At 36.6% G+C, this 22,654-nt stretch overlaps 1 protein-coding gene across 29 annotated transcripts in view; it reads right to left on the reverse strand.

Moving 5' to 3' along the window:
• CEP83 (centrosomal protein 83) overlaps positions 1–22,654 on the reverse strand; it is a 194,793-nt gene that overhangs the window by 65,727 nt on the left and 106,412 nt on the right. For 27 of the 29 annotated variants that reach the window (XR_007063082.1, XR_007063081.1, XR_007063083.1 and 24 more), the window contains 3 exons: positions 4,201–4,276; positions 2,094–2,251; positions 312–441 (listed from right to left, as the gene is read on the reverse strand). Coding sequence is in view for 22 of the 29 variants with exons in the window: in XM_047428923.1 (XP_047284879.1) it covers positions 312–441; positions 2,094–2,251; positions 4,201–4,276 (364 nt within the window). In the remaining 7 variants the exon portion in view is untranslated. Of the gene's footprint in view, positions 1–311; positions 442–2,075; positions 2,252–4,200; positions 4,277–22,654 lie in introns of those variants that run through there. The other 2 variants (NR_160432.1, XM_047428928.1) reach the window with 2 other exon arrangements.

Below are 22,654 nucleotides of genomic sequence, written 5' to 3' on the forward strand. Positions count from 1 at the left end.
CAGAGTCTTGCTCTGTCACCCAGGCTGGAGTGCAGTGGCACGATCTCGGCTCACTATAAGCTCTGCCTCCCGGGTTCATGCCATTCTCCTGTCTCAGCCTCCCGAGTAGCTGGGGCTACAGGCGCCCGCCACTATGCCTGGCTAATTTTTTTGTATTTTTTCAGTAGAGATGGGGTTTCACTGTGTTAGCCAGGATGGTCTCAATGATCTCCTGACCTCGTGATCCACCTGCCTCCGCCTCCCAAAGTGCTGGGATTACAGGTGTGAGCCACCATGCCTGGCCAGAGATCACTTTAATAAGAACCACTTGCCTTTTTCTGGGCAATTGCAGCTCGCTGCAGTTTCTCCTTAGCTTGATTGTACTTTTCTTCTCTGTCTGTGATACGCTCATGAAGCTTATGCTTTTCTTCCAACCACTGTATCTGTTTCTCTTCCAATGTCCTGTCAGAAGAATGTATGTAAAACATGGAAGTTAAATAAGTTCTTAGGATTAAATAGATATTATCACAAGTATAAGCAAACTCACTACCTGTCTGACCACATTCTTAATTATCCAACTGCAGGCCCTCCTGTATGGCCACTTGTTTGGAAATCCCACCATTACTGAGCACTTCCTATGAATAAGGCACTGGACTTAGAAAACTATGTGTTCTTTACAAAAATCCTGAGTTAGGTATTTCTGTCACCTTTATACTTCTGTCCATTTTATAAATGAGGAAACTGAGGATTAGAGCAGTTAACGAACTTAAGGGCTCACATCTAGTTAATGGCAAGACAAACACTTGATAACCAGATGTGAAGTATAATAACCATCAAACTACAAATATCTGTCCTCATAAATTTGGTTTAAGAAAATCAAGCCTGGTATCAAATCTTAATGCAGTATGTCTTCTGACTAGAGTAAAATGCATATAAATGATATCTTAAAATAACATCATAACAACTTATATTTTTAAAGCTATTCTGCATACTTTATATGATTTTTTTAGTATTCTTACTATAGGCAGTACTAATGAAAATAACAAACCCTGAGAAGTTAGATTACTTGCCTAAGGTCATACAAGATTTTAAGTATCTTAGCTGGAACTAAAATCACATTCCATTGACCCTTAGTTCAGCTATTTTCTTCTATGAAATTCTATGAATATTATTTAGAAACCAATGATTAATTACTTAAATTTGCTAGCTATACTGTCATTAGAATTATTAAGCTCATTTCAATCAAACACTTGAGAAATCCAAGCACATGTTTCTGTTTTTTACAAAATAAAAGAAAAATAAGTTGGATCAACTGAAATGTCACATGCTATGGACATTTATCTTGCTTACTTCCTTTTCTTGAAATTCAACCCCATATAAAAAAGCATGGACAAACCTTTGAATATGTAATAATAGAAAAACTGAAGAAATACAGTTTTATGTGGCATGGTGGCCTTCAGAAGAAGAAATTTGAAAAGAATAATGTTTTGTAGATTAAAATAAAAACTTACTTACAAGGCCAACATGTTATAAAGACAAAGCAAATACAAAATAGTACAGTGTTCTACCACATCTAAACAAATTTTTCCAGAGGATATAAGATCTTGAACATCACCACAATCATTTTATCCCTACCAGTTTTACTCCATACTGTCTACTAGTAACAAATTTTAAGACCAAAAAAAAAAAAAAAAAAAACAAATAAATTAGCTTTTCAAAGAAAATCCAAGATAGTTCTAATTCAAGGAATTAAGTTTTGCACATCAAAAACAAAACAAAAAACCCATTCTGTTCTCTGGCATTCAGAAGAATAGATTTTTGAAGAAATGTTTTGGTTTAATCAATGAATAAAAAAAGTTTTCTTTGAGGTTTTTCAGAATACTATACTGTCAGAATTTTAATGTCTTAATTTTTTTAAAAACAATTCAAGAGTCAGTATAGTTCATTCTATAAAAACATAAAGTACATTATTACCTCAGTAGACCATTGTACACTATTAAAGTGTATTTGTAACTAGTTTCTAAAATATAATCAACATTGGAATCATTACTAAAATAAGTACATGTTATATAGAAAAAAGAAAAAATAGTTTGTACATAAAGAGCAAACTCTACTTTTCAGCTTCTAGTTGCGCTTTTTCAGCTTGGCTTCTAAAATTTCGGCATTCTTGTTTTAATCTCTCCACCATTTCCTTCAGCATTTGGTTTGAATTCAGCAAGTCATTCTCTGACTGTGCAAGTGAAGTCACTTGGATCTGCAAACTACTGATTTGCTTAAAAGAGAAGAAAGAAGATAAATTAAAGCCCACTAAATAAATGCGGTAAGGTATGAGAGAAGCAGAAGATACTAAGCATCTCCCTTTGCAAATGCTCCCTCAAGCTGGTGTGTCCTTGGAGATGACCCCTAAAGGAAATAACAAATAGCAGCACCCAGGAGCATTTCTTATTATAATCAGAGACTATCAAGAACTATATTCCTCAGTCACTGAGTCCCCTCCCTCTTCTTTCCAAAATATGCAGGCCAGGAGAGGTATTGGGAATGGAGAGAAGGGTTATCAGGGGGATTAGCAGTGAGATGAGAAAAGGGAATCCAGTGATTAGAGTGAGTCTCCTACCACTCTAGCCTTCTCCTCACCTCCTAGGAAAAAAAACTGATTTTAAAAGCAAGTCAGCTGGGAAAGCAGCTAAAAAAAAAAATCCATCCTCCTCTTCCCACATACCCTGAGATCAGCAACCTTCCAGAAGTTCTACTCTCCGAGCAATCAAAATTGTTCAGTGTAAATGTGGGAAGGATCACTCCTCACATTGTTTTTAAAAGGTTTCCAAACCTTCTGTATGTCCAGTGCTGGGCAGAAGAAAGATGCTCTGGGAAATCTAATAAATGCTATAGATTCCTTGGCCTCTACAGCCATTTACCAAACTACATAATGTCACTCACAGCTTTTTTTTCCATCCCAATTTACCTTTATCTGGGAGTACTTTTTCTCATAAGAAGTCTAGTTACAGATTAACAGGCTAGAAAGATTCACACTCTTCTAAATTATATCCAAATCTCTTTATTTGGGACAGTTACACATACCTCCCCCACAAGCTATTTTACCAATTAGTAAACAATAAAAGTCCTTATTTTCCTTTCACTTCCTTTTATCTCTCTTAGCCATTTTCTGAAGACATTTCAAAGCAAAGACAGTCAAGAGACAGGGATCAAAAGAACCTATTATGAGATTCAAGGGTAAAAAGAAACAAGATTCTTATATAATAAACAAAATAAATGGGTAATAATCTCATTACTTCCTAATGGTAACAAAACAATTCAGATAGGATTCTGAAGGTCCACAGAGCAATTTTTAGCAGAATAAAACTAAACGGTATGTCTCAGATTTCTATTTTAGAATAAATTTATCCATGTAGAACTATTCACTCTTTATTTTTAACTGGAGTGGCAAATATTAAATCTGTATTACAGCTGCTTGAATAAGCAACCTTCAAAGAGCTTAATACCTCTCCATATGCATAGCATGACAGAAAGCCCAAATGCCAATGATACTAAATAACTTCTGAGTATCAAACGTTATGTCCATCTAGTTAAGACTTAGAAACCATAACTGCACATGAAAAGCAGTACCAACTCGCATATGAGCATGAATTCTAAAAATGGAATCCTACTTCATAATTTATAGGGAAAAAAACAACAACAAAAAAGAAAATAGAATTCAGAAAAGATCACTCTTCCATGTTTTACCCAACTTTATACAAATCTTTCCTGAACCCAAATAACTTTAATTATAAACACAAATTTCCTTCCATAAATACAAATCTTGGATTTCATAGGGATATAGCAAAAAATACCTCATGATATAAAGTTACAAGTCAATCACACAAGTAACTTAAAACCTGGATGATATTTCTATTGAGTTTTTAAAATTCTGAATATTAAAATACTGTCCTTATAACTGTAATTAAAAATTATCATGGGCCACAGCATTTAATAAATAAATATATATATCTTAAGAATAATAGCAGTTAGCCAAAGAAGCTTATTAAAGTATAGAAGTTTAAACATTTTAAAACATTTTATCTTTACATATCACCTCCAACAATATGTTACCAATTGTGGTTAGATTCTAAAAATACTGATGGCAAAATTTTTTTAAAATTTGCAAAACATAAATTTAAAGAAGCACTTGAAAAAATAAAAGGAAAATCTTCGCTAAAATCATACCTGTTTTAGGTCAGAATTTTCATTTTTTTCCTTCTCTGCATTTTCAATAGTCACAATTTGTTGCTGAAGTTTTAACCTAAAAATCACAACCCAACAAAAGGCATTATTAAGAATCCATGATTCATTTATTTCACTGAATTAAAGAGTCATTTTATTGAATGCCTGTTTGACACCAGAGCACAAACACAACCAAAGATTGAGACTTCAAGAAACTAGGTTGTGTTCACGTATAACAAAAATGTAAAACAAATTACTGCTATTGTGATAGGAAAATCTACAAACTAGGGGCATAGAGAGGATAAGAAATCAAGTCTGTCCAGGGGTACTGGGGAACGCTACATGGATAAAAACCTGACAGGTAGGATTTTGATATACATAAACAACAGCCTGAAAAAGTGGCCTTTCATGGAAAATTATAGAATGTGTTGCTAAGGTATCAGAAAGTAGTCTAGTTTAGGAGAGGCCAACTTACATCCATATAGTATTTTACAATTTGCAAAATTCTTTCAGACACACGCTACTTCATTTTCCTTCTAACAAGGCTACAGATTTAAAAGAAAACTAATACAACACACCATCCTGTATTCTATAAAATATCTTATGGAGCTTTTCATCCCTGAGATGAATGAATACTTACACATTTGCAGACTCTTCAAAGGGAATAATACATCTACAGCCAGAGCCTTAAAAAGCAGAGCAGCTCTAGTGACCAAATGAGTAACCTCATGAGGAAGACATTACACTAATTAGGTTTGGCAGGATAGGCCCTTCAGCCTCCTCCCTTTCAAAACTCTTCAAACGCCTATCTCAAATATAATTCACTTGGCACCTATTTATAGCTTGGTATTATTAGCATGTCTTATCTGCCCAAGTAGAATGTGTTTATCTAGACAACACTCTCAAGACCCTAGGTCTGTGCTTTAAACACAATAAGGACTCAATAAACATTTGTTGGCAGACTGAACGAACCAACCCAAATCATGGATTAGCTGTTTAAATGTGTGAGATGATTGGATAATATAACATAAAAAACCTGAAGATATGACCCATTGCTTCCTGAGACGTTTACATACAAATGCCAGAAACGATAAATCTAAAGAGGGCCAGTCCTTTTCCTTTTGCTCCACCGTCAGTACCAGTCACATTCTTATTTCATAATTCTAGCTACATGATTACTCATTCAAACTTTCTGTGCACTTCCTCCATTAAATGTTTATGAATGTTATCAACTGGGTGCCTTCTTTTTTTTTTTTTAAATAAGAGATGTGGTCTCACTATATTGCCTAGGCTGGGCTCAAACTCTTTGGCTTAAGCAATCCTCCTGCCTCAGCCTCTCAGGTAGCAGGGTGGCTAACTTGGGGCTTTTAGGTTACTGACTTATAAAGGTTTCTTTCCACAAAATCATGAAGATGAAAATGGAACAGAGAACACTGTGGGTCCCAGCTCAGGTCCACAGTTAGAAAACTTAGGCCCTAAGTATATCCTAGCTCCAGTTGAGAATCTGGATACAATTGGTAAATTAACAAGAAACATGACCCAGTTAAGAAAGTTATGGCCTAATGCTTTCTATATAGGTTACACAGACATGAAGAGAAACAATAGTGCCCTACATACAAAAGCTGAAGCCAAAGAAACCAATGGTAGAGTATCTGAAAATTCATTAAAATATGAAAGGATGGGGAAAACAACTAAATGAAAATATGAACTAAGTAAGAGCACCATTGTGGTAGACTATAGAAGATGATATACAACAAGACCTTCCTTCAGGTCATTTTGTTGAAGCAGTACTGGGTTAGAATCTAAAACTCATTTTTTTTTGGAGAAAATTAGTCCATGATTTAAGATCATTACATTTAGGATTCTATGGGATAATGAATCTTAAGATAAATAAGATAGGAATAAGACTAATGGTATTAAAGTTCAAAAAGGCAGATAGTTTCAAAAGACAGTGCTGTAAATTTAGGAGTAAAGTACAGTATCTCTTTTTATTAGGTTTTGAATACTCAAGGTGTGTCACAGTAAGTCAAAAGAAAATATACCTTATAACAGACGTACAAGGAACAGAAAAAACTGCAATTAACTTTCATTAGAGGATAAGTTAAGGCTACATAAAAGAGATGCAATTTGAACTAGATCTTGAAGGAAAAATAAGAGTCCGAGATAGAGAAATTAAAGATACAGGTGACGAAGAGTATAGAGGAAGTAGAGAGATGGGATTAAAAGCACTGTTCACTTAAGAAGTAAAGGGGAAAAGGACATTTTCAAAATAGAAAGGGAGGAGAGAATGGATGAAGGTACCGGAATTATAAGATGGCAAGAAGTTGAGAAAATTCATATCCTTAGCTTATGTACAAGTAAGAACATCGAACAGTTTCCAAGCTGAAAAGGAAGCAAGGGAGCCAGGTTAATAGGCTGGAAGAAAAAGAGAAGTCCAAAGACTGCTAATTTCAGTATCTTCAGTGACAGGAGCATGGATAAGAGAAAGAAAAGATATTTATGTCTTTGAAGTGATCAGTTCTAGGTGACGACAAGGTCCAAGAAGCGTCTAGGTGTACAAGATGCTAAAGTAGAATAAAGATAAAAGAATGCCAGAGTGCAGATAGAATAAACTGTAAGGCTAAGGTGTTGGGTAGTTCAACAATATGAATACATAGTCACCAAGAATGATGGTAAGAGAAACAGAAAACAGAAAAAAGTTGAGCCAGATATCAAAGTCCTCAGCGACTGTTAAGGAATACACTGTAGGTCATTAACTGCAAGAGATAAAAGACAGGTATAAAACTGGATGCCACAAATATCAAAGAAAAAAATCACTTTAACCATACTCAAACAATGAACTGGAAGCACAAACGGGGCTTACAAATGCTCATTTCTCTTCTTGGTCTCTTGTTGCAGGAGAGAGGAAGGAAAAGTAATTTCTACTTAAAAGGCATTCCAGGTTATATGCCATGAGAGGAAGAAAGCAGTTTTCAGCAGGGGGAGAGGCATTAAAAAAATGTTGAGATTGCAAAAAAAGTTATTGGTATCAGAATAGGGATTCCAGAGGCTACAGTGGAAACTGTTAAAAGTTTTAATGAGTAGGTGATAGGGAGAAATCAGAGGGTGAAGGATGAGTAAGTTGGGGGAAAAGTTAACTATGAGATCAAGTACTTTATACTTTTGAAGTAATTATGAAGGCAGAAATAGTAGGTGAACTGGAGGGCCAAGTTACAACAGAAAATGTAGCTATAAATAAGTTTAAATGGAAACTTTGGAATAACATTAAGATGGAACTATTTCAAGTTCCCTTCAAAGTATAGGGAAGTCAACCGTAAGGATCATGGTCTAGGTCTTCTGTGGCAGGCAGCTGATATACTGATATATACTATTTCTTTTTTTTTTTTTCTTTTTTTAGAGATGGAGTTTCACTCTTGTTGCCCAGGCTGGAGTGCAATGGTGTGATCTCAGCTCACCGCAACCTCCGCCTCCTGGGTTCAAGTGATTCTCCTGCCTCAGCCTCTCAAGTAGCTGGGATTACAGGCATCCACCACCACGCCCGGCTAATTTTTTGTATTTTTAGTAGAGACGGAGTTTCTCCATGTTGGGCAGGCTGGTCTTGAACTCCCGACCTCAGGTAATCTGCCCGCCTTGGCCTCCCAATATATGCTATTTCGACATTCAACAAATATTTATTGAGTACCTATACATGCTAAGCCCATTCTAAGTGTTGTGGATACATCAGAAAATAACAAGGACAGAATGCCTACCCTTGAGTTTATACTCCAACAGTGTTGTCTGATAGAACTTTCTTTGATGGTGGAAATATTCTACAATCTGTGCCTTCCAATATGATAGTCACTAGCAACATGTTGCTAGTGCACACTTGAAATGTACTTCATGTGACTGAAGAAACTGAATTTTAATTTTTTAAAATTCTAATTTAAATTTAGGTTTCAACAGTCATCTGTGACTAGTAATATCATATTGGGCAGCAAAGGCTCTAATGTAACTTCTTGGCTTCATTTAATGTGAGTCCCTGCTATCAAAGGGAAGCAACATACAGGGCAAACAATAGAAGTTGTATTTTTCTACTGTGATTTCTCTACTGTCAAAGAGTCCTACAAGTCTCATGAGAATGGCAGTAGCCTTCTTATACCAACCTTCTGAAAGCATGGTTCTTGCTTGTGAGCACTGGAAATTGACACTGGCCATTATTAGCAAAAATAAACTTTCCTGAAAGAATATAAGAACCCACTCAAAAGAGAACTAGAAAACTGAAACCAGGATACAATAATTGATAGGAATCACAGGCAAAGACATGCCACAGCCCTGCCTGGTCCTTCAAACATTGACACATATCCTTTCATCCCTTACTTCACAGTTTAAATTCTTGGGAGAAAATGTGTCCAATGGGCCAATATAATTCTTTTCAAGATGGAGTCTAAGTAGAAAGGTGGATATATTAAATGATAGTTTTTTGGTTTGTTTTTAAAAAAGCAAATATCCAACACTGGCAGCAAAGAAATCCAAACTGATGAAATGTAAACGTTCATTAAAAGCTCAAGAAAAAAACAGAAAGCCCCAAATGGGAAATAAGAGCCCTGGCTTTAAGCCATGCAAAAAATAAATTAAGGGGGTATTGACTACAGGATATCATAAATGTTCAGCTTCCCTTTCCCTTGGTTATTGCTATTCCCCTTGGTTATTTGCTATTATATCAAACTGCATATCATTTACTTCCTCCTCCTTCACCCACTCCACACAGAGACATGGGCATATAACCTTGGCTGAGCCAGAGTGCCTGATACCACGGTCGCAGTGGTAGGTCCAGGGATGAGCATGTGAACTAGACCCAAACTTGTCTCTAGATTTTTTTTTTTTTTTTTTAAGACAGAGTCTCACTCTGTCACCCAGGCTGGAGTGCAGTGGCACAATCTTGGCTCACTGTAACCTCCGCCTCCCAGGTTCACGCAATTCTCCTGCCTCAGCCTCCTGAGTAGCTGGGACTATAGGTGGCTGCCACCACACCCCACTAATTTTTGTATTTTCAGTAGAGATGGGGTTTAACCAAGTTGGCCAGGCTGGTCTCAAATGCCTGACCTCAGGTGTTCCACCCGCCTCGGCCTCCCAAAGTGCTGGGATCACAGGCGTGAGCCACCACGCCCAGCCTCGACTCTAGACTTTTTAAACTTGAGTTTGCTAACAAGAACTTTGTCCTCTTGGCTTCAACATATGTTCCCAGCATCACAGAGATAGGACAGCAGACAAACGAGAGAGATAATAAGAGAGGAGAGAGAAAATAAGAGAGGAGGAATAAAAGAAAAGGAGGAGAAAAGTCACTATTATCTAATTGCATTTGAGTTCCTAGATCCAGGTGTCCCTGAAACCAGCAAAACCCTTATCTTTCCCACAATTGTGTAAACCAAGAAAGTCCCTTTTGTTTGCTTGCATTAGTTGGAGTTGCGTTGCTGTCATAACCAAAAGTTGACTACATATTCTATTATATTTAAACTCCTTTAATTTTTACATGGTTTTAATTTGCAAATTGAATAAATGTGCAGCGGAGCAGCCTTTTGAAATACAGTACTTTTATAAAAATAATTTTTATTACTCTTGGCACTATGATAAGCTAGTGGTAAAAAAAAAACACTTTCATCAAAAGAAAAGACTGGTATATAATTAATAAAGGATCTGTCAAAGCAGTGATTAATATGTAATAGATTAATATCTACTTATCACAGATATATATTATTTGTAAATAAATGGATATTTCTGCTTTGCATGATTTATACTTTCCATTTCCTTAGTAAGACCTTTTGCTTCACAGATAAGTCTCCAATCTGTCACGGGTTATCTAAATAGGAGGTGCTGCAATTATGACCATTTTAATGAATGATCAAAATAGACCTGGTTGATGTAGCTGGACTTATAAATCAGTAAATCATAACTGTCAAGGAAAAAATACCACAATTGTTGAACATTAAAAAAAAAAAGCCATGCAAATCGTGTGAATTTAATCCTGCTAGATTTTATGTTGGTTACTATGTCTTTATTTTAAAATAAGTTGAGGTCATTTACACATTGTAAGTGAAACTCCAGAGGAATCAAAGAAAAATTATCAATGTGACTAACAGAATAGAAAATTATTCACATTTAAGAAAAGCTAAAGGAATGAAAGCTGTTTTATATAGCAAAAAACTAAAAAACAAAACAAAACAAAACCTAAGGGTCAAGTTCATTATTGTGTTCAAGTAATGACAGAATGCTGAACATTTTATCACTATGGCAACAGAAACCCAAAGCAGGAGAAACAGGCTTAAATTCTAACAGAAAAGATTCTAACTGGCCAAACTGTGGGATTATCATAGGATAAAACATTAGAGTAGGATGCCTGGGGAGGGTCTACCCCTACTTTCTGGAGACTGTCAAAGAGAGATTTAAAAACGACCTGTCTTGAATATGTCCTAAAAAATGTACCCATCTAAAAGCAAAAGGACAGACAAGATTGGTTCTTAAAATCTATTACAGATTCATGCTTTTAGAATCACAGCCACTAACAATTTAAATAAAGTTATAAAACCTAAGTAAGTAATAAGTATACCTCTGCCTGAAGTAATTCTTTCCTAAGTAATGCAGATCAAGAACTCTGTCTCAAAACATAGCCTACCACTTAATGAACATGATTTTTAAAAGCCACTCAAACTTTATATAATTAGAGACGTCACTAAGATATTAGAATTTGAAAAGCAGACATAAAGCATTTCCAAGTGTTGAGGATAACAGCAGATGTCTAGCTCTGTGTTATCCATATATTCTGCAAAAACAATACAGAAAAAGCAAAGAGAACAAATAAAGCCACACAAAACCATACCCTTAGCATAACTGGCAGACAGAAAATGCCCAAAACCTCAAAGTAACTAAGTAAAATGAAGGAAAAAATACCAAATCCCAGCAAGTGATCTCTCCCATTCCCGCCTGCACATCTTTGCAGGCAAGGGCTCACTGCATGTGAATGTACTTAATTCGCCCATTAAAATAAAATGTTTAATTTATTAAAATTTGGCCCACAAAACAAGACCCAACTAAACGCTACATATAAAACACACATTTAAAAAGCAAAACGATTCAGAAAATTTAAAAATAAGAGGATAAAAGTATACCAGGCAAATGGAAACTATATGAAAACAGAAGTGGTGATGGTATCAGACAAGTCAAGCAAAAAAAAAAGACAAAAAAAGCAATTTTTAATGCTAAACGCTACAATTCACACTTAAAATAGAACTGCTATGAATATTTATATTCTGTACCAAATACCATGAAACTCACCTTTATGAAACAAAAACTACAAGATATACAAAGAGTCACATACAGAAACACAGTAATAATAGGAGACTTTAATATATCATTCTTTGTACAAGACAAATCAAGTGGACAAAAAATAAGCAAGTATACAGAAGACCTAAACATCGCAGTTAACAAGGCAGATCCTATGTGTACAGACACATATGTGTGTATGTATGTCTGTGTGTGTATGTATATATATATAGAACTTCATATATATATATATATATAGAACTTCATACTCTTATAAGACTCCATGTGTTTACGTAACACAATAACTGACATATACTATGGGACTAAGTGACTATAGTTCTATAGTCGCTGGGCATGTGACATGTCCAGAATGCGAACTTAAGAAGACACCCATTCTAAGACTCCTGCAAGTGCAGGGTCAGCACCGTGAGACTGTCGCCTTAAATTTTTTGCACCCTGGGTGCCTCAATTGCTTTACCCTAGTCCTACCCTTGATAGATTAGGTTACAAAGAAACATCAGAGTGTTCCACAAAGCAGAAAGAGTACAAACAATATTGTGATCACAATGCAATAAAGCTAGAAATTAACTTTTTTTTTTTTTTTTTTTTTTTTTTTTTTGAGACGGAGTCTCGCTCTGTCGCCCAGGCCGGACTGCGGACTGCAGTGGCGCAATCTCGGCTCACTGCAAGCTCCGCTTCCCGGGTTCACGCCATTCTCCTGCCTCAGCCTCCCGAGTAGCTGGGACTACAGGCGCCCGCCACCGCGCCCGGCTAATTTTTTGTATTTTTTTTTAGTAGAGACGGGGTTTCACCTTGTTAGCCAGGATGGTCTCGATCTCCTGACCTCATGATCCACCCGCCTCGGCCTCCCAAAGTGCTGGGATTACAGGCGTGAGCCACCGCGCCCAGCCGAAATTAACTTTTTAAAAAGGTTCTCCTACCTGGAAATTAAAAAACCTTCTGTTATAGACTGAAACATGTTCCTTCAAGATATGACTACATTTCGAGATAGGGCCTTTAAAGAGACAATTAAGGTTAAAGTCATATGGGTGGGCCCTAATCCAATATGACTAGTGTCCTTACAAAAAGGATAGACAAGAGGGGATGCAAAGGCACAGAGAAAAGGCCATGTGAGGACAAAGTGGGAAGAAGGTGGCTACCTGCAAGTCAAGAAGAGAGGTCTTAGGAGAAACCAAGCCAGGCAATACCTTAATCTATGACTTCTAGTCTCCAAAACTGTAAGAAAATTAATTCCTGTTGTTTGATCACCCAGTCTGTGGTATTTTATTATGGCAGACTTAGCAAACTACTACATCTTCTGTTAAACAACTCTTTGGCAGAAAGAAAAATGCAAATTAAAATTAGTGAATTTCTTTAAAAATAATAATTAAAACACTATATAATTTATGGGATACACGTAAAGCAGTGATGAGAAGAAAATTATTAGCACTAAATACTCTTACCAATAAGAATGAAAGAATAAACTGTAGTAAAATTAAATTCTCAACTCAAAAACAACCAAATGAACAAAGTAAACTAAAAGAAAGCCCAAGGTATACAACATGACCTTAGAAAACTCTAAGAAATCAACAAAGCAGCTATTAGAAAATATGTGACTTTAGTAAAGTCACAGGATTCAAGATCAATACATAAAAGTAAACTATATTTCTATATGCAACGAACAATTAAGAAGTCAAATGAACTCCATTTATACCATATTTAGAAATAAAATTGAATCAAAGATGAACATGATATATACAATGAAAACTGCAACACACTGATGAAAGAAATGAAACCTAAATAAATGGAGAGATGTATGATATTCATGGATTGGAAGACTCAATATTGTTAAGGTAACAATTCTCCTCAAATTGACCTAAAAATCCAATACAATCCCAATTAAAATTTTAACAAGAATTTAAAAAGATAAAAAACTGATTAAAAAATTAATATTTGAAAGGCAAAGGACCTAGAAAAGCCAAAAGAATTTAGACAAAAAAGAACCAGGTAGAGGACGTGCACTACCTGAACCAAACTTACTATAAAGCTACAGTAATCAAAATGGTATGATACTGGTGTAAAGACAAGATCAGTAAAATAGAATAGAGTCCAGAAATAGACTCACACCTGTAATTCAGTGAGGGAAAAGATAGTCTTCAAAAAATGGTGCTGGAACAACTGGATACCTACATGAAAATAAAAAGCATATGTGTGCCATTACCTTACACCACATAAAAGTTAAGATGAATTAGACCTTAAAACCTAAAGGTAAAAACCAAATATTAATCTTTTAGAAGAAAACAAATATCTTTTTAACACAGAATTAGGCAAAGACTTCTTGAAGAGAACACAAAAAATACAAACAAGAAAAAAATTGATAAAGTGGTGTAGTATTATGATGTATATATATTGGTTTACATATACATATGGGTTTACATTCATGGTTCCTGGCTCGTAACTTCCATAGCCCTTGTCCACATTTCCTAAGTGACTAAAACAATACATGTATCTTTGTTACCGTATTAGGCCCTTTGTTTATGGCTCGGGAGGCAGCTTCAGAACAGCTTCAGAGTGATAAAGGCGAAAGACAGTCTTTGGTTATAATACTGGGGTGCTCTGGGCCTCAGAAAACAGAATCTCTCTCTGACCTTCTGTCCTCCTTTTACCTGCGCCTTTTTCTCTCCAAGGCAGGCCACACACACTAAAAATATACTCCAATCTTCCCCCATCTTTCTGTCTTGGAACTGGTCATAAAAAAATCCTCTGAATTACCTTACCCGACAGCAGGTCATAAGACCCGCATTTCTGAAGGGGTCCTGCCCCTTCCTTATCCAGGAGGAAATAATGCTACACAGAGGGGCCAAGAAGAATCTAAATGCACAGGACTTGTTACAATTCTCTGCACAGTCTATTAGTATTAGATCATGCCCTTTTTGTCCAATAAGATTTCCATACGATTGTCCATTCTTCAATCATGTTTATCCAATGAAGTCTCCAAAAAAGACTCAAGAGGACAGGGTACCGCAAGCCTCCAGACAGCTGAACTCATGGAGGATTACATGAAGGTAAACAAGAACTCACCCATGTGCTAGGAGAATGGCACACTCCAACTTCACAGGAACAGAAGCTCCTGAGCTCTGGACCCTTGAGATCTCACCCTATTATTTCTCTTTCTTATTGTTTTTTTGAGACGGGGTCTTGCTCTGCTGCCCAGGCTGGAGTGCAATGGCCAATCTCGGCTCACTGCAACCTCTGCCTCCCAGGTTCAAGCAAGTCTCCTGCCTCAGCCTCCCGAGTAGCTGGGATTACAGGCACCTGCCACCACGCCCAACTAATTTTTTTTGTATTTTTAGTAGAGACGGGGTTTCACTATGTTGGTCAGGCTGGTCTCAAACTCCTGACCTCAGGTGATCCACCCACCTCAGCTTCCCAAAATGCTGGGATTATAGGCGTGGGCCACCGCACCTGGCCTATTATTTCTTCATCTAGCTGTTTATTTGTATCCGCAGTGAGCTGAGATCACACCATTGCACTCCAGCCTGGGTGACAGAGCGAGACGCCGTCTCAAAAAAAAAAAAAAAATCCTCTTCAATAACCTGGGAAACATAAAGTGTTTCCTTAAGCTTGTGAACCACTCTAGTAAATTTAGCTGAAAGAGAAGGTTATGGAAACCCCAACTTAAAAACCTGGTCGATCAGAAGTTCCAGAGTCCTGAAAGTGAGACTGGTGTCTGAAATGGTGGCAATCTTGTGGGACCAAGCCTTCAACCCGCAGGATCTGATGCTATCTCCATATAGAGAGCAGTAGAATCAAATTAGATTAGAAGATGTCAGACTGCTGTCCACTGCAGAACTGAATGCTTGCTTGTTGATGGGTAGAAATCCATACATTTGGTCACAGAAGTTTTCTGTGTTGTGGTGTGAAAACACAGGAAAAAACACCACTCAGGAGTTCAAGACCAGTCTGGGAAACATGGAGAAACCTTGTCTCTGCTAAAAATATAAAACTTAGCCAGGCACGGTGCCATGCACCTGTAGTCCCAGCTACTCAGGAGGCTGAGGTGGGAGGATCGCTTGAGCCCAAGAGGCAGAGGTTGCAGTGAGCTGAGATGGCACCACGGCACTCCAGCCTGGGCAACAGAGCAAGATCCTGTATCAAAAAATAAACAAATATATATATATATATATACACATACACACACACACACACACATACACACACACACACATACACACACAAGTAAATGAAAAGGAAAGTCATAGATAAGGAGAAAATATCTGTAAAATATGTATCTAAGAAAGAGCTTTTATGCGTAACACATAAATAACTATTATAAATCAATAAGATAACTTCTGAATGTAAAAAGTGGCCAAAATATTTGAACAGAAACTTCACAAAAGTAGCTTATAAGCACACAAAAAGATGCTAACCACCACTAGTCACAGAGACAATAAAATTAAGACCACAGGTGACATGTTACAACATATCCAATTAGAATTATTATTAAGACTGAAAATAACAAGTGTCAGTAGGGATGTAAAACAAACAAAATCCTCATATATTGCTAGTTGGAATGAAAAAACTTCTCAAGTGTTTCCACATTGGAAAACAGTATTTCTGTATGTTATAAAATTAAATATATACTTAACATATGACTTAGTAATCCCATTTCTAGGTATTTAACAAGGAGAAATAAAAACATATTTCCACACAAAGACTTGTAAATGAATGTTCACAGCAGCATTATTCATAATAGCCCCCAACTAAAAACAACCCAACATTTGTCCAACAAAAGAATAAATAAATCATATTACGTTTATACAATGAATACTAATCAGCAATAAAAAGACATGGGCTACTGATACACTCAGAGCATGGATAAGTCACGGGTTGCCTAATGTTGGGACTCAGGAAAGGAGGTCAACTATAAAGAGACATAAAGAAACTTTTGGGGTGATGAAACTATTCCATATTTTTATTATGGTGAGGATTGTACAACTGTATACAAAATGGATGAATTTTATTTTAGGTACATTAAATGATAACAATAAAACTATAGAAACTTTTTAAGGGCAAAGAACCAGAAGATAAAAGCAGAAATTAATGAGTTAGAAAATGGGAAACCAGTCGATCTAATAAATAAACCAAAATCCTAATTTAAATGAATGTACTGAACTGTATGTTTTAAAATAGTTAAAATGGTAAATTTTATGTATATTTTACCACAAAAAAAATATATATATATACACAAAGCAGTGGCTGACTTGACCAAGAAAGAAAGAAAGCACACGTATAGAACAAAAAATAACAAAGGGGAAATAAGCATTGAAACAGAAAAAAAATTTAAAAAAAAGAGGTCTACTTTTCAAAAGGAGGAGCATAGTGGCCAGCCGTCAGAAGTTGACAATGACCAGTTGAGAGCAATCATTGGAGCTGATCCTCTACAACTACACAAGAAGCTGCCAAAGAACTCAATGTCAACCATTTTATGGTCATTTGGCATTTGAAGCAATTCGGAAAGGTGAAAAAGCTAGATAAGTGGGTGTCTCATGAACTGAGTGAAAATTTAAAATATCGTCATTTTGAAGTGTAGTCTTCTCTTATTCTATGCAACAACAAACTATTTCTCAAGCAGATTGTGACATGCGACAAAAAGTGGATTTCATACGACTACCGGCAATGACCACCTCAGTGGCTGGATGGAGAAGAAGCTCCAGAGCACTTCCCGAAGCCAAACTTGTGCCAAAAAGGCTCATGGTCACTGTTTGGTGGTCTGCTGCCGGTCTGATCTACTACAGCTTTCTGAATCCCAGGGAAACCATTACATTTGATAAGTATGCTCAGCAAATCGATGAGATGCATTGAAAACTGCAATGCCCGCAGCCGGCACTGATCAACAGAAAGGGTCCAATTCTTCTCTACGACAATGTCCAACTGTATGCCACACAACCAATGCGTCAAAAGTGGAACGAACTGCACTACAAAGTTTTGCCTCATCTGCCATAGTCACCTGACCTCTTGCCAACTGACTATGACTTCTTTAAGCATCTCAACAACTTTTTGCAGGGAAAATGCTTCCACAACGAGCAGGATGCAGAAAATGCTAAGTGTTTGTCTAATCCCACCAGGTGTGGTGGCTCACACTTGTAATCCCAGCACTTTGGGAGGCCGAGGTGGGTGGATCACCTGAGATCAGGAGTTCAAGACCAGCCTGGCCAACATAGTGAAACACCGTCTCTACTAAAAATACAAAAATTAGCTAGGTGTGGTGGTGGGTGCCTATAATCCCAGCTACTCGGGAGGCTGAGGCAGGAGAATCGCTGAACCCAGGAGGTGGAACTTGCAGTGAGCCAAGATTGCGCCACTGCACTCCAGCCTGGGTGACAAGAGCAAGACTCTGTCTCAAAAAAAAAAAAAAAAAGAAAAAAAGTTTGTAGAATCCCGAAGCATGGATTTTTATACTACAAGAATAAACTTATTTCTCATTGGCAAAAATGTGTTGACTGTAATGGTTCCTATTTTGATTAATAAAGATGTGTTTGAGCCTAGTTACACTGATTTAAAATTCATGGTCCAAAACCACAATTACTTTTGCACCAACCTAATAATACACCATATTAAAAGAATGAAGAAAAAAATGCATGATCATCTCAACTGATGCAGAAAAAGCATTTGACAAAATTCAACACCCTTTCATGATAAAACAAACTAACAAACTCGGAATAGAAGGACACTACCTCAACATAATAAAGCCATATATGAAAAAGCCACAGTGAGTATCATAAGCAATGGTGAGAGACTGAAATGTTTTCCTTTAAGATCAGGAATAAACCAAGTACTCCCACTTTTGCCACTTCCATTTGACATGAAACTGGAAGTTCTAGCCAGAGCTATTAGGCAAGAGAAAGACAATGAATTCAGCAAAGTAGCTGAATACAAAGCCAACAAACAAAAATTAGCTGCATCTCTATACACTAACAATGAATACTATGAAAAGGAAAATGAAGAAAATAATTCCATTTACAATAGCATCAAAAAGAATACATAAAAATTAACTGAACCAAGGAGGTGAAATACTTAGAAAACTAAAAGACGCTGCTAACAGAAATTAAAGAAGATATAAATAAATGGAAACACATCCCATGTTCATAAATTGAAAGATTCAATATTGTTGAGATGTCAATACTACCAAAAATAATCTACAGAATCAATGCAATTGCTATCAAAATCCCAATATTTTGCACAGAAATAGAAAAATCTATCCTAAAATTCGTATGGAATCTCAAGGCAACCCAAGTAGATGAAATAATCCTGAAGAACAAAACTAGAGAACTCATACTTCCTTATTTCAAAATTTATTGCAAAGTTATAATAATCAAAATAGTGTGACACTGACATAAAGACCAACATATAAGCAACTGGAATAGAATACAGAATGAGTAAATAAACCCTCCCATATACGGTCAAATGATTTTTGACAAGAGTACCAAGGTCATTCAATGAAGAAAGGGCAATGTTGTCAACAAACAGTGTTGGGAAAACTGGATACATACATATAAAAGAATGAACTTGGACCTCTCTTTATATAGGAAAATTAATTTAAAATAGATCAAAGGACTAAATGTGCAACCTAAAACTATAAACTCTTAGAAGATGGGGGAAAGGCTTCATGGAATTTGATTTGATAATGATTTCTTGGATATGACACGAAAGGCATAGGGCAATAACAACAACAACAAAAAAAAACAGACAAAATGAACTCCATGAAAATAAATTTTTCTGCAACAAAAGATACTTATCAACAGAGTAAAACCCTACAGAATAGGAGAAAATATTTGCAAATCATGTATCTGATAAGGCATTAATATCCAGAATATACAGAGAAAAACTAAACAAGAATAAAAAATAAAATTTTTAAATGGACAAAAAACTTGACTAGCTGTTTTTCAAAAAAGATGCATATTAAAAGATGCTCGACATCACTAATCATTAGAAAGATGCAAATCAAAACTACAATGAGATACTTACTACCTCACACCTATCAGGATGGTTACTATCAAAAAAACATGAGGAAGACATCATTAAGATGACTGACTAGAGGACCAACACTCTTCCACAAAGGCCCAAAATAACAAGTAAATAACTGCACTTCAGGTAAGAGTTTCTAAGGGAGAACAACAGAATTCACATGAAAGAGAAAAAAAAAATCCACTTAATCATGGAGACTTGAGATGGCAGCATAGAGAAGAAAGCAAAGCACCCAGCCAGGATTGGCTCAGAACCAAGAGAGACTCCCCATTGTGTGAGAAATGGTAGGTAGGAGTTCCTTAGCAATCCCTAATACCACTGTGGACATGTGTAAACCTAGCTACAGAAGAGCCCTAGAGTCCTAACAGGCCCTGAATCCGGTACAGGGAGCTGCTTGGAGTCCACATGGTTACATTGCTCCAGAGAAGGAACACACACTGGGTCCCCCCACTCCCTGTGACCCAAGCTGCTACAGCATGGCACCATTTTGAGAACCGAGCCAATGCTGAAATACATGCTGCCATGGGGTTCAACAGACCTGGTATTTCCATATCTGAAGGGTCCCACTGTAATCATGCCACAATCAAATAAAAGGGTCCAACACCACAACCTCAGCTACACAGAGCAGTAAAGCCAAAACTCCAGAACCTGAGCTGATATAGTAGACCTAAAGGAACAAGCAATCTAGCACAGCAGGGAGGCCACCTCCAAGACCAAGGGCACTGGTGCATGCAGTCCCTAGGGTTTAAGAACTAGCTGCCAGCCACTGCCAGCAATCCCATTCCCATAACTGGTGAAGCAGAAATGCACCCCACATACCTGTAGGGACCAATGATGGGCCCATATGGCAACAGCCACCACTGGCAATTCCACCCCACAACTGGCAAAGCCACCATACCCAATGAGCACCCAACACCCAAGGCCTGAGAACTGTTCCACCTAGAGGCCCCTATCAACACCAAAGACATGAGATTCATTCTACAAAAACTCACAGCAGAGACCACTGAGGTACTTGCAGACACTGCTGACACGAATTACAGCCAAAGATCATATGGAGACTACATTACTGTACTAATATAGAAACAAAGCCAAAGCAACTACCCAAACAATACTGCAGGACAAATATACAGGAAAAAGTCCTTCTTTACAAAAGCTACTCCATAAAATAGAAAGAGACAACTATTCTACCAGATGCACCCATAACATAGGGACACAAGAAACATGAAAAAAGTTGGGCGTGGTGGTTCACGCCTGTAATTCCAGCACTTTGGGAGGCCAAGGCAGGCAGATCACGAGGTCAGGAGTTTGAGAACAGCCTGGCCAACATACTGAAACCCCGTCTCTACTAAAAATACAAAAAATTACCTGGGCTTGGTGGTGGGTGCCTGCAATCCCAGCTACTTGGGAGGCTGTGGCAGGAAAATCGCTTAAACCTGGGAGGCAGAGGTTGCAGTGAGCCAAGATTGTGCCACTGCACTCCAACCTGGGTGACAGTGTGAGACTTTGTCTCAAAAAAAAAAAAAAAAGAAACATGAAAAAGAAAACATGACACCTCAAATGGAACCCAATAATACTCCAGTAATAGACCCTAACGAAAAAGAAATCTAAAAAATGCCTGAAAAGAAATTAAAAATAACAATGTTAAGGAAACTTGGAAAGATACAAGAGAATACAGATAGAAAATTCAACGAAATCAGGAAAAAATGATATGAATGAGAAATCTGAGAGACACAGATATCATAAAAAAGAACCAAACAGAATCCTTGGAGCTGAAGAATTCCATGAACAAAATTAAAAATACAATCAAGAATTTCAGGAACAGTCTAGATCAAGCAGGAAAAAGAATTTTTGAACATTAAGACAGGTCTTTTAAAATAATCCAGTCAGACAAATAATAATAAAGAATAAAAGGGATGAAGAAAGCCTATGAGACTTATGTGACACCATTAAGTGAACACATATTCACATTATAAAAATTCCAGAAGAATAAGAGATGGGAAATGGTATCAAAAACGTTGTAAACAAAATCATAACTGTAGAGTTCCCAAGTCTTAGGAGAGAGATGAACATCCAAATCCAAAAAGCTCAAAGACCCCAAACTGATTCAACCCAAAAAGGTCCTCTCCAAGGCATACTATACTCAAACATCAAAAATCAAATCAAAGAGAGAATTCTATAAACAACAAGAAAAAAGCATCAAGTCATATATAAGAAAATCCCCGTGAGACAAACAGCAGATTTCTCAAGAGAAACCTTACAGGCAAGAAGAGAACAGAATGTTATACTCAAAAGTAGTGAAAGAAAAATAACTTCCATTCCAAAATACTATACCCAGCAAAACTATCTTCAGAAATGAAGAAGAAACAAAGTCTTTCTCAGACAAGCAAAAACTGAGACAATTCATCACCACTAAACCTACTCAACAAGAAATTCTTAAGGGAGTCCTACAACTGAAAATGAAAAGACAATGACTAACATCATGAAAACATGCTAGTATAAAACTCACTAGTAGAGCAGATAGATATACAAATGAGAAAGAAATCAAACTTTGTCACTACAGAAATCCACCAAACCACAAAGATAAACAATTAAGAGAGCAAGAAAGAAACAGAAGATCTACAGTACAACCAGAAAACAATTAACAAAATGACAGGACTAAGTCCTTCTCTACCAAGAATAACTTTGAATGTAAACAGATTACATCCCCCAATTAAGACATATAGACTGGGTAAAGGCATAAAAACTCAAAGCCCAAATATAAGCTGCCTAAACACAACTCACTTCACCCATAAAGACATACATAGTCTGAAAACGAAGTGGGGGAAAAAAAAAAAAACACTCCATGCAAAGAGAAACCAAAAATGAACAGAAGCAACTTACTTATATCAGATAAAATAAACTTTAAGTCAAAAACTGTGAAAAGTTTGTCACACTGTAAAAAGAACTGTAAAAAAAAAAAGTTTTTAAGCTGTAAAGAGACAAGGAAGTTCATTATATAATGGAAAAAAAAACCCAATTCAGCAAGAGGATTAGCAATAGTAAATATGTATGCATCAAACACCAGAGAACCAAGATATATTAAAGCAAATATAATTATTATCTAAGGGGAAAGATAGACACCAATGCAATAATA

The sequence above is a fragment of the Homo sapiens genome, chromosome 12 (assembly GCF_000001405.40).
Source record: "Homo sapiens chromosome 12, GRCh38.p14 Primary Assembly".
Taxonomy (NCBI): Eukaryota; Metazoa; Chordata; class Mammalia; order Primates; family Hominidae; genus Homo; species Homo sapiens.